The 16,410-nt window shown below is 43.4% G+C and overlaps 1 protein-coding gene across 3 annotated transcripts in view; it reads left to right on the top strand.

Annotated features, from left to right (window-relative positions):
- Positions 1-16,410, top strand: part of NBPF26 (NBPF member 26) — a 118,285-nt gene that overhangs the window by 89,015 nt on the left and 12,860 nt on the right. For 2 of the 3 annotated variants that reach the window (NM_001405520.1, NM_001351372.2), the window contains exons 11-23: positions 932-1,034; positions 1,870-2,084; positions 3,126-3,198; positions 3,663-3,868; positions 5,164-5,215; positions 9,145-9,308; positions 10,350-10,401; positions 11,015-11,187; positions 11,907-11,958; positions 12,555-12,727; positions 13,447-13,498; positions 14,095-14,267; positions 14,987-15,038. In NM_001405520.1, the coding sequence (NP_001392449.1) occupies positions 932-1,034; positions 1,870-2,084; positions 3,126-3,198; positions 3,663-3,868; positions 5,164-5,215; positions 9,145-9,308; positions 10,350-10,401; positions 11,015-11,187; positions 11,907-11,958; positions 12,555-12,727; positions 13,447-13,498; positions 14,095-14,267; positions 14,987-15,038 (1,540 nt within the window). The remainder of the gene's footprint in view (positions 1-931; positions 1,035-1,869; positions 2,085-3,125; positions 3,199-3,662; positions 3,869-5,163; positions 5,216-9,144; positions 9,309-10,349; positions 10,402-11,014; positions 11,188-11,906; positions 11,959-12,554; positions 12,728-13,446; positions 13,499-14,094; positions 14,268-14,986; positions 15,039-16,410) is intronic. The other variant, NM_001395637.2, reaches the window with a different exon arrangement.

Genomic DNA, 16,410 nt, shown 5'->3' on the forward strand with positions numbered 1-16,410 from the left:
ATAAAAATAAGAATAAAAAGCAGAGAGTAGCTTGGTGAGAGTGAAGTCCTGCTTCCTGGGGCACAGAGTCTTGTTGCTAAAGAGGAAGAAAGATCGCACCCGAGAATGTGTGGAGATAGCAGTGCAGTGTACAGAGCAGGGACCGTGGGCCTGTCTCCTGGGCTCCATCCAAGTTGCTTGTCTTGTCTGTCCCTCAGTTTCCTCACCTGTTCAGAGGGTACTACAATAATACCTACCTCTGTAAATTGCTGCAGTGAATTACATGAGCTATTTCTTGTCAATCTCCTAGAACATTTATTGGCACAGAGTAAACACTATCTATTAGTTCTTCATTCTGCTGTTTCTAAATTAACACAAACTTTATTAACATTTGGGCATATTTCCTTCATGGCCTAATGGTGTTATGTGTCACACTTTATGCTTCAGATATGATTCTTAAAATCATAACTGGAGATATGATTTAAAAATCAAAGATTTTAAAAATCTTTCGCATACTTGTCCTTGAAATTCCCAGTAAAAGGGAAACCATCAGTCCCATAGTCCTAGGGGCTTTCCCAACTGTACAAGAAATCACTACTTCATGCCCCAGTGCAGTGTTTTAGAGGAGAGGCTGCAAGGCTTGGGAAAGTGGCCCCGCATTCAGAGTCAGACCTCAGGGACTGTGAATTCTGACTCCACTTCGTTGTGGTTGAATCATCTTGTCAACTTCCTTGATGTGCCCTTGAGGTTCTCTTTCTTCATCTCTAAATTTTGGAGGATCAGATGCCAGAAAGTCAGGAGACTGAAGAGTAAAGATGTGGAAATCCCTGTCTAGACCCTGGTACTGGGGAGAGTTTTGTCCTTGGGATGGACCTGGCTCCTGTCCTGTAGGCAATGACCACAGCAGCATGTCCAGCCTTCCACTGAGGCAGGTGTGTCTGTCTTTTCTCAGAATATGAAGAGTGCAAAGATCTCATAAAATCTATGCTGAGGAATGAGCGACAGTTCAAGGAGGAGAAGCTTGCAGAGCAGCTCAAGCAAGCTGAGGAGCTCAGGTGAGGGGACCCCATGGGGGCAGGCAGGGGGGCAGGTGTGTAAATCTCTGAAGTACAGCAGCTCGGTGGGGAGACGTAAGAGCTAAGCTGGGCCAGGGGAAGGGCAGGAATTGCCATGGCAGGCTCGCTACACACAAATATTTATCAAACAGAGAAGGAGGATAGTAAAAATGTATGGGTTGCAGTTGTTTCTCAGAGCCTTGTTTTCTCTTTTTCAAACAAGTAATTGTTGATGTGAAATTTACATAACACAAAATTAACCAAAGGAGTGTGAACCACACAGCAGCATTCAGTATACTCAAAATGGTGTGCCATCACCACCCCACTTACCCTTAGTGAGAATCACCTCCTGACTGACTGCGGCTTCTCATTCTTTCACTCAATCAATGTTGCCTTCTCGACCCTGTCATTCTTTTCTTCTTTCTTCTTTTCAATTCGCCCCATCTGCACCTGGCCTCATTTCTGTACATGGCTTTGTATCTAGTGGCCGCAAGATGCACTATGTGTATTTTCACATGGAAATGTCCATGGCCAGAGTGAGGAACTGAAAGGATGTCTTTTTGAAAGGGAATTAGGAAGACACCTACTTTTGTTTACAGAAGAGAAAGATGAATGGAACATCATCGAGGATCTTGCAAGAGCCCTCTCTGATTCAGAGGAAGCCTGTAAACCATTTTCTATTCTTTCTCTTGGCCACAGACATTCCTTTAAACATGTGCTGACCTTCTGCTTCGAGGTCTCCTTGAGGACATTGTCTCAGAAATCTCTGTTGCAATATTTGAGCGGATCACTCAACCCTTTCTACTCTTAAATTTTCTCTACCGTCTCACCTTAGGCAATATAAAGTCCTGGTTCACGCTCAGGAACGAGAGCTGACCCAGTTAAGGGAGAAGTTGCGGGAAGGGAGAGATGCCTCCCGCTCATTGAATGAGCATCTCCAGGCCCTCCTCACTCCGGATGAGCCGGACAAGTCCCAGGGGCAGGACCTCCAAGAACAGCTGGCTGAGGGGTGTAGACTGGCACAGCACCTTGTCCAAAAGCTCAGCCCAGGTAAGGTGGCCATAGGCCCTGATGACCCAAAATCCCAGGCTTATGAGAGACTCCAGACCTCCATACTTTCACAATGACAGTTGTATCAGTGGTGTTTTTTTCCACTAAGCTTATGTGGCCATGACATGACCAGGACTTCTTGGGTAAGAACAGAGATGGGAAACCCATGGGGTTGGAGGTCACAGTATTGCAAGTGTCCCTCCTTCCTTGATGGAAGGTGGTCTTTGGAGCAAGAGGCAGCATCTATCTAGTTTTAAAGGACAGGAAGGAGGCTGGGATGGGAGCAGGCTTGTTAGAGTGAAAAGAGCTCTGGACTAAGAATGAAGGTTCCCAGGCTGTCTTTTCGACAATGTTCTTAGTAACTGTCAGAGAGTGAATGACTTGTCCTTCCTGAGTTTCTCTCTCTCCGTGGCAGACAAATTGTCTCTTGCAAGTGTCTGAAGCATTCAAATGTGGGAACACTTACAACTGCTTTCCAAAATGAGATGAAGTCCCTCGCCGTGTGATGTTGGAGAAGGCACTTTATGTGGGGGCGTTTTGTGGTAGGAAGTGCTTCAGACTGGAGCACTCCCCATGGATAGAATGTCCCTGAAGAACACAGCAGAAGCCACTTGGAGGCTTGAAATCTTCTGATGCATAGAGGACTGTGGGACAAGTTTGTCTGCTTCTAAGAGAAAGAATTAGGTTTGAAATGCAAACCGTGACAGGACACCAAGCCTGTGCCTGGGAATCAGATCTGGCAGGATGGGGGAGACAGCTGCCAACGTCCAGAGAGAGGCTGCACAAGCCTCCAGTGATATGGGAAGCAAAAGGTCTTTTCAATATTTGGCCACATCTTGATGGTGGCCCTCCAGATCAGAAATGCATTGCCTGATGGATCAGGAAACCATGCCAGGGCATTCTGTTAAAGATAAATCATGAGAGTTTTCAGTTGAACGGTGACCCATGCCTAGATGTTCATGTCTCTGTTGCACATTGGGCTGACTGTGCTTGCAGACTGTGAAGTGGGAAATATCTGAACGAACACTTCTGTATTTACAGAAAATGACAACGATGACGATGAAGATGTTCAAGTTGAGGTGGCTGAGAAAGTGCAGAAATCGTCTGCCCCCAGGTAACACTGAATACTCAGGAACAATTAATGGATGGTAACATATGAGGAATATCTAGGAGGCACACCCTCTCTGGCATCTATGATGGACCAAAAACCCGCATTCGCTTGGCCACAGTATGTGAAATATAACCCAGCTTAGACACAGGGTGCGGTAGCTGTCATGTTTCTCTATGTGTGCCGAGTGTCATGTCTGCACCGTACAGGGATAGCTGAGTCTTCATCCTCCTCAGCTCCTATCTGTCCAGTGCAATGAACAGCAGCTGCTCTCTTCCTCTCTGGTTCCCATGGCAGCCATGCTCTGTTGCAGAGAGAACAGGATTGCATGTTCCCTCTTAATGGGAACCTCCATTTTGCTTTCTGGGACCACTCTCTTAATGCCGCCTGTCAAAACCAGCTAGGACTCCCTGGGGTCCAATCCCTCTGTGTTTAATCTTCTGTCATCTCTGTCCCACCTGGCTCATCAGGGAGATGCAGAAGGCTGAAGAAAAGGAAGTCCCTGAGGACTCACTGGAGGAATGTGCCATCACTTGTTCAAATAGCCATGGCCCTTATGACTGCAACCAGCCACATAGGAAAACCAAAATCACATTTGAGGAAGACAAAGTCGACTCAACTCTCATTGGCTCATCCTCTCATGTTGAATGGGAGGATGCTGTACACATTATTCCAGGTAGCCTCTGTTTTCCTTGTGTCTCATACCTCTTTCTTGGCTGAGGAAGATAAACTCTGAAGACAGGCTCTATAAACACAAATTCATTTGAATAAAAAACTGTGATGGGTTTCTAAACAGATATCAGGGAGTTTTTTGTCCTTCTCAGCTAATGTCATGACTTTGTCTGCCAGTCCCCAGTATCAAGTTACTCAACCCCAGGCAAGTGTGACAATCTCATAGTCACCTGAGTGCAGGAGGTGCACAGGCAGTATCTGTCAGGCCTCCTAGCTTCGATTCAATATCTCTTGTCATCTGTGATTAAGTCATCTGTCCCTGAACAATGTCCATGGAGTTTCTATGCCTGTTTAAGGAAGCTGGCAGCCTTGCCTTTGTATTTGGAAATATTGTTCACCAGGCTTCACTGCTCTCAGCTTTCATCTGGATCTCCTTTAAGTCAGCTTGCTTAGCTGCACAGTCACCCTGAAATCAGGACAGAAACTTTTCTTCTTTACTTTGCTGATATATTTCCATAAAGCAAGGCTGGACCCTGGTTCTCCACCCTGTCAATGCAATGGCTGATCCAATGTTTCTTTGTAGCATCGTGGATTTTTTTTTTTTTTTTTTTTTTTTTTTTTTTGCGATGGAGTCTTGCTCTGTCACCCAGGCTGGAGTGCAGTGGCACCATCTTGGCTTGGTGCAACCTCTGCCTCCCAGATTCAAGTGATTCTCCTGCCTCAGCCTCCTGAGTTGCTGGGACCACAGGTGCACAACATCACATCTGGCTAATTTTTGTATTTTTAGTAGAGACAGGGTTTCCCCATATTGGCCAGGGTAGTCCTGAACTCATGACCTCAAATGATTCACCTGTCTTGGCCTCCCAAATCACAGATTCTTTTTAAAGCAAGAGTTGTTCAAATTTATCTATCAGTCGTGTTTCATGTATAGATGCCTCTAAACATTTAATGTCCATGTTACCTGGTGATATAAGTCCATATCGCAGCAACACTCTTAGAAAATTGTTTGACCAATTTTTGGAGATTTTTTTGGGGAAAAAATTTTGTTTAACTTTGACTCAAGCAGGGAATATGGCATTATGGTCTACACATAGAGGGAGATTTTGGCCTGTGGGTCTGGAAAGCAGGGTCATCTAATTCTCACCAAAGTTAATCTAGGACAACCTAGAATATTCCTGTCAGAATCCTTATTCTTGCACTGAGAATAGTTATGTCCTTGTGCTATGACTGGACAGTGATTTGTTCATATGTGAAGTATGAATTGCTTAATGTGACCTGCTTCTCTGAATTTATTTACAGAAAATGAAAGTGATGATGAGGAAGAGGAAGAAAAAGGACCAGTGTCTCCCAGGTAATGTTGTGGAATTGTTGGCTGTTAATTCAGTAGTGACATCTGGAGATTGTAGATTTAGGGAAAATGAGGAAGTGATGAATAGAACTATTTCTTCCATTCACCCAGCTACAAATTGTGCTGATTTACAATGTTGTATGTTATTTGTGGCACTTGTATTGGTTTTAATTTCATAGTCCTCTCAAGATAGGAACTTGCCATCAGATGAGCCAGGTGAACTAGCCAAACAGGGTTTTCTTGTTGATCTTTTCAAAAAACCAGCCCTGGATTCATTGATTTTTTGAAGGGTTTTTTGTGTCTCTCTCTCCTTTAGTTCTGCTCTGATCTTAGTTACTTCTTGTCTTCTGCTAGCTTTTGAATTTGTTTGCTTTGCTTCTCTCGTTATTTTAATTGTGATGTTAGGGTGTCAATTTTAGGTCTTTTCTGCTTTCTCTTGTGGGCATTTAGTGCTATAATTTTCCCTCTACACATTGCTTTAAATGTGTCCCAGAGATTCTGGTATGTTGTATCTTTGTTCTCATTGGTTTCAAAGAACATCTTTATTTCTGCCTTCATTTTGTTATTTTCCCAGTAGTCATTCAGGAGCAGGTTGTTCAGTTTCCATGTAGTTGTGCGGTTTTGAGTGAGTTTCTTAATCCTGAGTTCTAATTTGATGGCACTGTGGTCTGACAGTTTGTTGTGATTTCCATTCTTTTACATTTGCTGACGAGTGCTTTACCTCCAACTATGTGGTCAATTTTGGAATAAGTGTGATGTGGTGCTGAGAAGAATGTATATTCTGTTGATTTGGTGTGGAGAGTTCTGTAGATGTCTTTTAGGTCTGCTTGGTGGAGAGCTGAGTTCAAGTCCTGGATATCCTTGTTAAGCTTCTGTCTCATTGATCTGTTTAATATTGACAGTGGGGTGTTAAAGTCTCCCATGATGATTTTGTGGAGTCTAAATCTCTTTGTAGGTCTCTCAGGACTTGCTTTATGAATCTGGGTGCTCCTGTTTAGGGTGCATATATATTTAGGATAGTTAACTCTTCTTGTTGAATTGATCCCTTTACCATTATGTAGTGGCCTTCTTTGTCTCTTTTGATCTTTGTTGGTTTAAAGTCTGTTTTATCAGAGACTAGGATTGCAACCCCTGCCTTTTTTTTGTTTTCCATTTGCTTGGTAGATCTTCCTCCATCCCTTTATTTTGAGCCTATGTGTGTCTCTGCATGTGAGATGGGTTTCCTGAGTACAGCACACTGATGGGTCTTGACTCTTTATCCAATTTGCCATTCTGTGTTTTTTAACTGGGGCATTTAGCCCATTTACATTTAAGGTTAATATTGTTATGTGTGAATTTGATCCTGTCGTTATGATGTTAGCTGGTTATTTCGCCCGTTAGTTGATGCAGTTTCTTCCTAGCGTCAATGGTCTTTACAGTTTGGCATGTTTTTGCAGTGGCTGGTACCGATTGTTCCTTTCCATGTTTAGTGCTTCCTTTAGGAGCTCTTGTAAGGCAGGCCTGGTGGTGACAAAATCTCTCAGCATTTGCTTCTCTGTAAAGGATTTATTTCTCCTTCACTTATGAAGCTTTGTTTGGCTGGATATGAAATTCTTGGATGAAAATTCTTTTCTTTAAGAATGTTGAAGATGCTGGAGAGGATGTGGAGAAATAGGAACACTTTTACACTGTTGGTGGGACTGTAAACTAGTTCAACGATTGTGGAAGGCAGTGTGGCAATTCCTCAGAGATCTAGAACTAGAAATACCATTTGACCCAGCCATCCCATTACTGGGTGTATACCCAAAGGATTATAAATCATGCTGCTGTAAAGACACATGCACACATATGTTTATTGCGGCACTATTCACAATAGCAAAGACTTGGAACCAAGCCAAATATCCAGCAATGATAGACTGGATTAAGAAAATGTGGCACATATACACCATGGAATACTATGCAGCTATAAAAAATGATGAGTTCATGTCCTTTGTAGGGGCATGGATGAAGCTGGAAACCATCATTCTCAGCAAACTATTGCAAGGACAAAAAACCAAATACCGCATGTTCTTACTCACAGGTGGGAATTGAACAATGAGAACACATGGACACAGAAAGGGGAACATCACACACTGGGGCCTGTTGTAGGGTGGGGGGAGGGGGGAGGGGTAGCATTAGGAGATATACCTAATGTTAAATGATGAGTTAATGGGTGAAGCACACCAATGTGGACATGTATACATATGTAACTAACCTGCACGTTGTGCACATGTACCCTAAGACTTAAAGTATTAAAAATATATATATATATATATATATATATATATATATATATATATACATACACACAAAAAATAATAAAGGAAAACTATACATATGGAAAAAAAAAAGAATGTTGAATATTGCTCCCACTCTCTTCTGGCTTGTAGGGTTTGTGCCAAGAGATCTGCTGCTAGTCTGATGGGTTTCCCTTTGTGGGTAATCCGACCTTTCTCTCTGGCTGCCCTTAGCATTTTTTCCTTCATTTCAACCTTGGTGAATCTGACAATTACGTGTTTTGGGGTTGCTCTTCTCGAGGAGTATCTTTATGGTGTTCTCTGTGTTTCCTGAATTTGAATGTTGGCCTTCCTTGCTAGGTTGGGGAAGTCCTCCTGGATAATATCCTGAAGAATGTTTCCCAGCTTGGTTCCATTCTCCCCGTCACTTTCAGTACACCAATCAAACGTAGATTTGGTCTTTCCACATAGTCCCATATTTATTGGAGGCTTGTTCATTTCTTTTTACTCTTTTTTCTCTAAACTTCTCTTCTCGCTTCATTTCACTAATTTGATCTTGAATCACTGATACCGTTTCTTGCACTTGATCGAATTGGCTACTGAAGCTTGTGCATGCATCACATAGTTCTCGTGCCATGGTTTTCAGCTCCATCAGGTCATTTAAGGTCTTCTCTACACTGTTCATTCTGGTTAGCCATTCGTCTAATCTTTTTTCAAGGTTTTTAGCTTCCTTGCGATGAGTTCGCACATCCTCCTTTAGCTCAGAGAAGTTTGTTATTACCGACTTTCTGAAGCCTACTTCTGTCAGCTCATCAAAGTCATTCTCCATCCTGCTTTGTTCCATTGCTGGCGAGGAGCTGCGATCCTTTGGAGGAGAAGGGATGTCAGGTTTTTGGAATTTTCAGCTTTTGTGCTCTGGTTTCTCCCCACCTTTGTGGTTTTATCTACCCTTGGTCTTTGATGATGGCGACCTACAGATGGGGTTTTGGGGTGGATGTCTTTTTTGTTGATGTTGATGCTATTCCTTTCTGTGTGTTAGTTTTCCTTCTAACAGTCAGGTCCCTCAGCTTCAGGTCTGTTGGAGTTTGCTGGAAGTCCACTCCAGACCCTCAAACAGGGATTTCTTGGTGTTGCCTATTCTCTCCCATGTGTTTAAATCCAGGGAGAGGTGTATATATGCTTTCTTCCTATTTGTTGGTAGTATGTTGGCTAGTATTTTTGCAAGAAAAGAAATTGAAAAAGTAAATATATTATATCAAAATATTGGGAAAATGGGGCCCTTAATACACAAGATCTGTGTCTGCACTGCGTCAAGAACTCTCTTCACTTGAATGCTGCATGTAAAATTCAACCCAATTTATGCAAAGTAGTTGAAGCCCTGTGTCAGTTCTCTGTGCTGCAAGTCATGATGGTAGTTTACAGGGAGAGTCTGGGTGCCCTGAGTTGGCTCATCTGTGGCAAATGTACTGAGCACACGCTGCCCATTTTTGCTCTGTCCCCAGAGCAGTCACCCTCCACCCTGTATTTAGAAGGATAGTTTTATTCCTCTTGAAGGAAAAATGCCTTTGGTTTCTGTGACCACTCCATTCTGTCTCCCATCAGATCATCTGGGAGGTTTTGTTGTCTAAAGTCTGTTGGTTAAATCTTCTGTCATCCCTGTCCTGCCTGGCTCATCAGGAATCTGCAGGAGTCTGAAGAGGAGGAAGTCCCCCAGGAGTCCTGGGATGAAGGTTATTCGACTCTCTCAATTCCTCCTGAAATGTTAGCCTCGTACAAGTCTTACAGCAGCACATTTCACTCATTAGAGGAACAGCAAGTCTGCATGGCTGTTGACATAGGCAGTGAGTACTCCATTGTGAAGGTGATAAAGCTCCAGTTCATGGCCCAGGTAGACCCCATAATCTTTGGGCCTTGTGCCCCTTCTTGGGCTGAGATTTGCCATCACTGTGGGCTGAACCTATATATCAATGTAGATTTCAATCACTCTGGAGTCGAGTCTGAAGCACAGGCATGGGGTGGGTCAGTGAGCTTTGCTCTCTTCCTAGTCTCAGGCCATGCCCGTGCCAACCTGGACTGACTGTCACGACATTGAACTCAAGGCAGGTGTGGCAAACTCACACCAAACTATGCAGCACATGCCCAGGAGTTGTCTGTCAGCTCAGCTCATCTGAATTAAATGTCTCTTGCCAGCTACAAAATTCCTTATGAGTTTTGTTCCCAAAGCATGTCTGTGTGGTTCTTTACCTGCCCAAGGCCAGTGTCACCCTTGTCTACCTCTCAGTGAAAGATGTGACCCAGGTTTCACTGAATTTATTCCCATTTTCTGTGTCTTCTAAGTTCGCTTGTTTTAGCTCATCTGTCCGTCATGTTCCTGGTATGTTTTCTAGATAAATGGCTGACTTTTCACCCACAAAAGCCATAATAGCTGATGCTTCTGTGTAGAACCAAGTTTCATTTTGACTCAAGAGCTGGTACATTGCACCCTTTCATCAAATCTCTGTGTCCACAATCTCATAAACTATCAAATTCTGGGTATTTAATGAGAAAAGCCTAATATTGAAGTATCTCTCCTATGAGGTGTTAGAACTATTTGCCTACAATTTATTGGGGAAAAAATTGCTCATTTGTGTACATAAACCTAGGACAGAGCACATAGGGAAGATAACATTCCAACACAGGGGAATTTTGCCCAAGGCTCATGAAAGAACCCAAGCCAGTTTTCTCAAGACTTGACCTCAGGCCTACTGGAATATTTCTCTCAAAGTCTCCTGTTCTCACACTGACAAGACTGATGTCCCTGTGTTAGGATTGGACAGAGGAATGTTTCTGTGTGCAAGGAAGAACTGCTTAATGTAAGAGGGCCCATCTGAATTTATTTGCAGGACATCGGTGGGATCAAGTGAAAAAGGAGGACCACGAGGCAACAGGTCCCAGGTGAGTCTGAGAAATTGTGGACAGTTAATTTGATGTTGACACCTGGAGATGCCAAGTCCAGGGAAAACAGTACATGCTGAAAATAATGATTTTGTCTTGTCAGACAAGTCTGAATTATGCCTACTACATTGCTTTTTGGTTCTCATTAGAGTAAATCTTTAGGTTTCCATTTCTTCCTACCCTTATCATTTACTAACCTAGTGAAAGTTGACCATACCTCAAAAGCTGTATTCTCATGGTAACTGCAGGGAAACTTGACCACATTTTACGCAAAATTATTGAGGACATGCTTTTCATGATCACTGTTCACTGTGTGTCCTGAGAGCACAAATACAGAGTGTCCTTTGACTCCCTCATCAGTGTGTCACCTGACCAATTCACTGAGCTCGCTCTGTGTGTGTGTGTGTGTGTGTGTGTGTGTGTGTGTGTGTCTTTCATCTTTTTCTACCTGGCCCTGTTCTATCCCAACATAAAGGCAATAATCTGTTACCTCATTAATGGATCTGTCCTTTTTCTTTTCAAACTCTTCCTTACATTAGCCATGAAATCTAGCTGGGGCTGTGTGGTTTCTGATTCCCCCTGGCTTATTCTTTACTTTTTCCCACTTTTCCAGGCTCAGCAGAGAGCTGCTGGATGAGAAAGGGCCTGAAGTCTTGCAGGACTCACTGGATAGATGTTATTCAACTCCTTCAGGTTGTCTTGAACTGACTGACTCATGCCAGCCCTACAGAAGTGCCTTTTACGTATTGGAGCAACAGCGTGTTGGCTTGGCTGTTGACATGGATGGTGAGTACCTTTCTATGAAGGTGATAAGGATCCACTGAGTCTTCTGGTTAGGGTCATATTCCTACTGCAAGTGGCCCTTACTGAGCTGAGAGATGTCATTGCCACAGGGAGGACCTATAGGCACATGTAGGTTGAATGAAACTCTAGTTCCACTTGGAAGCCCAGACAAGGGATGGGTCAGTGAGCAAGGCTCTCTTCCTAGTCTCAGGCCATGCCTGTGGCACCCTAATCCTACTCTCATGACATTGGACCTGGGCAGATGTGACAAATTCACACAACTCTGATTTTGTCTCAATTTTGTAGATCTTGTAGATTTCATCCTTCACTCTAATTTCAGCGTCTAAAATCCTCACTACCATGAACAATCTGAGTATTTGATGAGACAGGGCTGAATAGTGCAGTTTTTCTCCTAGCAACCATTTGGGGGCATTTGCTTTAAATCGATTGGAAAAATATGGCATAACCATTTGCACAAACTTGGGACAAATGATATTGGGATAACGATCTACCAGAATAGGGAATTTTACCCACAGTTTCTGGGACAAAAACCAAGGAATCTCTATGGTGATCAGCCTTCAGGCCTCCTGAAGAATATCTCTCACAGTGTCCTATTCTCATGCTGAGGAGCCTGAAGTCCCTGTGTGAGGATTAGACAGTGGATTGTTATGTGTGTAGGAGAACCAGCTTAATATGTCTGTCCATGTCTGAACTTATTGCAGAAATTGAAAAGTACCAAGAAGTGGAAGAAGACCAAGACCCATCATGCCCCAGGTAACTTTGAGCAATTATGGATGCTTAATTCTGTGTTGACACCTGGAGATGCCAGGTCCAGGGAAAACAAGAGTGTATTCAATTTCATGTTTTCAACGAAGGTTGAATTACGCCTACTGACATTGCTGTTGGTTTTCATTGCAGTAGATGTTTAGGTTTCCATTTCTTCCTCCCCTTATCATTTAGTAACTTACTATAGGTTGACCATACCTCAAAGGCTGTATGGCAACTGCATGGAATCTTGAGCAAGTTTATGGAAAATTATTGAGCCCACTCTTTTCATGATCACTGTTCGCTGTGTGTCCCGAGGGCACTAACTCAGAGTGTCCTTTGACCCCTTCATCTGTGTGTCACCCGGCCAATTCACTGAGCTCACTTTCTCCTCTCTCTCTCTCTCCCTCTCCCTGTCTTTCTCTTTCGTTCTTTTCTACCTGGCCCTGGTTTATCCCAACCTAAAGGCAATAATTCATTCCCTCAGTAATGGATCTGTCCTTTTTCTTTTTAAACAGTTCCTTATCTTAGCCATGAAATCTAGCTGGAGCTGTGTGGTTTCTGATTCCCCCTGGCTTATTCTTTACTTTTTCCCACTTTTCCAGGCTCAGCGGGGAGCTGTTGGATGAGAAAGAGCCTGAAGTCTTGCAGGAGTCACTGGATAGATGCTATTCAACTCCTTCAGGTTGTCTTGAACTGACTGACTCATGCCAGCCCTACAGAAGTGCCTTTTACATATTGGAGCAACAGCGTGTTGGCTTGGCTGTTGACATGGATGGTGAGTACCTTTCTATGAAGGTGATAAGGATCCACTGAGTCTTCTGGTTAGGGTCATATTCCTACTGCAAGTGGCCCTTACTGAGCTGAGGGATGTCATTGCCACAGGGAGGACCTATAGGCACATGTAGGTTGAATGAAGCTCTAGTTCCACTTGGAAGCCCAGACAAGGGATGGGTCAGTGAGCAAGGCGCTCTTCCTAGTCTCAGGCCATGCCTGTGGCGCCCTAATCCTACTCTCATGACATTGGACCTGGGCAGATGTGACAAATTCACACAACTCTGATTTTGTCTCAATTTTGTAGATCTTGTAGATTTCATCCTTCACTCTAATTTCAGCGTCTAAAATCCTCGCTACCATGAACAATCTGAGTATTTGATGAGACAGGGCTGAATAGTGCAGTTTTTCTCCTAGCAACCATTTGGGGGCATTTGCTTTAAATCGATTGGAAAAATATGGCATAACCATTTGCACAAACTTGGGACAAATGATATTGGGATAACGATCTACCAGAATAGGGAATTTTACCCACAGTTTCTGGGACAAAAACCAAGGAATCTCTATGGTGATCAGCCTTCAGGCCTCCTGAAGAATATCTCTCACAGTGTCCTATTCTCATGCTGAGGAGCCTGAAGTCCCTGTGTGAGGATTAGACAGTGGATTGTTATGTGTGTAGGAGAACCAGCTTAATATGTCTGTCCATGTCTGAACTTATTGCAGAAATTGAAAAGTACCAAGAAGTGGAAGAAGACCAAGACCCATCATGCCCCAGGTAACTTTGAGCAATTATGGATGCTTAATTCTGTGTTGACACCTGGAGATGCCAGGTCCAGGGAAAACAAGAGTGTGTTCAATTTCATGTTTTCAACGAAGGTTGAATTACTCCTACTGACATTGCTGTTGGTTTTCATTGCGGTAGATGTTTAGGTTTCCATTTCTTCCTCCCCTTATCATTTACTAACTTACTATAGGTTGACCATACCTCAAAGGCTGTATGGCAACTGCATGGAATCTTGAGCAAGTTTATGGAAAATTATTGAGCCCACTCTTTTCATGATCACTGTTCGCTGTGTGTCCCGAGGGAACTAACTCAAAGTGTCCTTTGACCCCTTCATCTGTGTGTCACCCGGCCAATTCACTGAGCTCACTTTCTCCTCTCTCTCTCTCTCCCTCTCCCTGTCTTTCTCTTTCGTTCTTTTCTACCTGGCCCTGGTTTATCCCAACCTAAAGGCAATAATTCATTCCCTCAGTAATGGATCTGTCCTTTTTCTTTTTAAACAGTTCCTTATCTTAGCCATGAAATCTAGCTGGAGCTGTGTGGTTTCTGATTCCCCCTGGCTTATTCTTTACTTTTTCCCACTTTTCCAGGCTCAGCGGGGAGCTGTTGGATGAGAAAGAGCCTGAAGTCTTGCAGGAGTCACTGGATAGATGCTATTCAACTCCTTCAGGTTGTCTTGAACTGACTGACTCATGCCAGCCCTACAGAAGTGCCTTTTACATATTGGAGCAACAGCGTGTTGGCTTGGCTGTTGACATGGATGGTGAGTACCTTTCTATGAAGGTGATAAGGATCCACTGAGTCTTCTGGTTAGGGTCATATTCCTACTGCAAGTGGCCCTTACTGAGCTGAGGGATGTCATTGCCACAGGGAGGACCTATAGGCACATGTAGGTTGAATGAAGCTCTAGTTCCACTTGGAAGCCCAGACAAGGGATGGGTCAGTGAGCAAGGCGCTCTTCCTAGTCTCAGGCCATGCCTGTGGCGCCCTAATCCTACTCTCATGACATTGGACCTGGGCAGATGTGACAAATTCACACAACTCTGATTTTGTCTCAATTTTGTAGATCTTGTAGATTTCATCCTTCACTCTAATTTCAGCGTCTAAAATCCTCGCTACCATGAACAATCTGAGTATTTGATGAGACAGGGCTGAATAGTGCAGTTTTTCTCCTAGCAACCATTTGGGGGCATTTGCTTTAAATCGATTGGAAAAATATGGCATAACCATTTGCACAAACTTGGGACAAATGATATTGGGATAACGATCTACCAGAATAGGGAATTTTACCCACAGTTTCTGGGACAAAAACCAAGGAATCTCTATGGTGATCAGCCTTCAGGCCTCCTGAAGAATATCTCTCACAGTGTCCTATTCTCATGCTGAGGAGCCTGAAGTCCCTGTGTGAGGATTAGACAGTGGATTGTTATGTGTGTAGGAGAACCAGCTTAATATGTCTGTCCATGTCTGAACTTATTGCAGAAATTGAAAAGTACCAAGAAGTGGAAGAAGACCAAGACCCATCATGCCCCAGGTAACTTTGAGCAATTATGGATGCTTAATTCTGTGTTGACACCTGGAGATGCCAGGTCCAGGGAAAACAAGAGTGTATTCAATTTCATGTTTTCAACGAAGGTTGAATTACGCCTACTGACATTGCTGTTGGTTTTCATTGCAGTAGATGTTTAGGTTTCCATTTCTTCCTCCCCTTATCATTTAGTAACTTACTATAGGTTGACCATACCTCAAAGGCTGTATGGCAACTGCATGGAATCTTGAGCAAGTTTATGGAAAATTATTGAGCCCACTCTTTTCATGATCACTGTTCGCTGTGTGAGGATCCACTGAGTCTTCTGGTTAGGGTCATATTCCTACTGCAAGTGGCCCTTACTGAGCTGAGGGATGTCATTGCCACAGGGAGGACCTATAGGCACATGTAGGTTGAATGAAGCTCTAGTTCCACTTGGAAGCCCAGACAAGGGATGGGTCAGTGAGCAAGGCGCTCTTCCTAGTCTCAGGCCATGCCTGTGGCGCCCTAATCCTACTCTCATGACATTGGACCTGGGCAGATGTGACAAATTCACACAACTCTGATTTTGTCTCAATTTTGTAGATCTTGTAGATTTCATCCTTCACTCTAATTTCAGCGTCTAAAATCCTCGCTACCATGAACAATCTGAGTATTTGATGAGACAGGGCTGAATAGTGCAGTTTTTCTCCTAGCAACCATTTGGGGGCAATTGCTTTAAATCGATTGGAAAAATATGGCATAACCATTTGCACAAACTTGGGACAAATGATATTGGGATAACGATCTACCAGAATAGGGAATTTTACCCACAGTTTCTGGGACAAAAACCAAGGAATCTCTATGGTGATCAGCCTTCAGGCCTCCTGAAGAATATCTCTCACAGTGTCCTATTCTCATGCTGAGGAGCCTGAAGTCCCTGTGTGAAGATTAGACAGTGGATTGTTATGTGTGTAGGGGAATCAGCTTAATATATCTGTCCATGTCTGAACTTATTGCAGAAATTGAAAAGTACCAAGAAGTGGAAGAAGACCAAGACCCATCATGCCCCAGGTAACTTTGAGCAATTATGGATGCTTAATTCTGTGTTGACACCTGGAGATGCCAGGTCCAGGGAAAACAAGAGTGTGTTCAATTTCATGTTTTCAACGAAGGTTGAATTACTCCTCCTGTCATTGCTGTTGGTTTTCATTGCAGTAGATGTTTAGGTTTCCATTTCTTCCTCCCCTTATCATTTACTAACGTACTATAGGTTGACCATACTTCAAAAGCTGTACTCTCATGGCCACTGCATCGAATTTTGACTGGGCCAGATGTGACAAATTCACACCAACTCTGATTTGTCTCAATTTGTAGATCTTGTAGATTTCATCCTTCA

This window comes from Homo sapiens, chromosome 1 (genome assembly GCF_000001405.40).
Source record: "Homo sapiens chromosome 1, GRCh38.p14 Primary Assembly".
In the NCBI taxonomy this organism is placed as follows: Eukaryota; Metazoa; Chordata; class Mammalia; order Primates; family Hominidae; genus Homo; species Homo sapiens.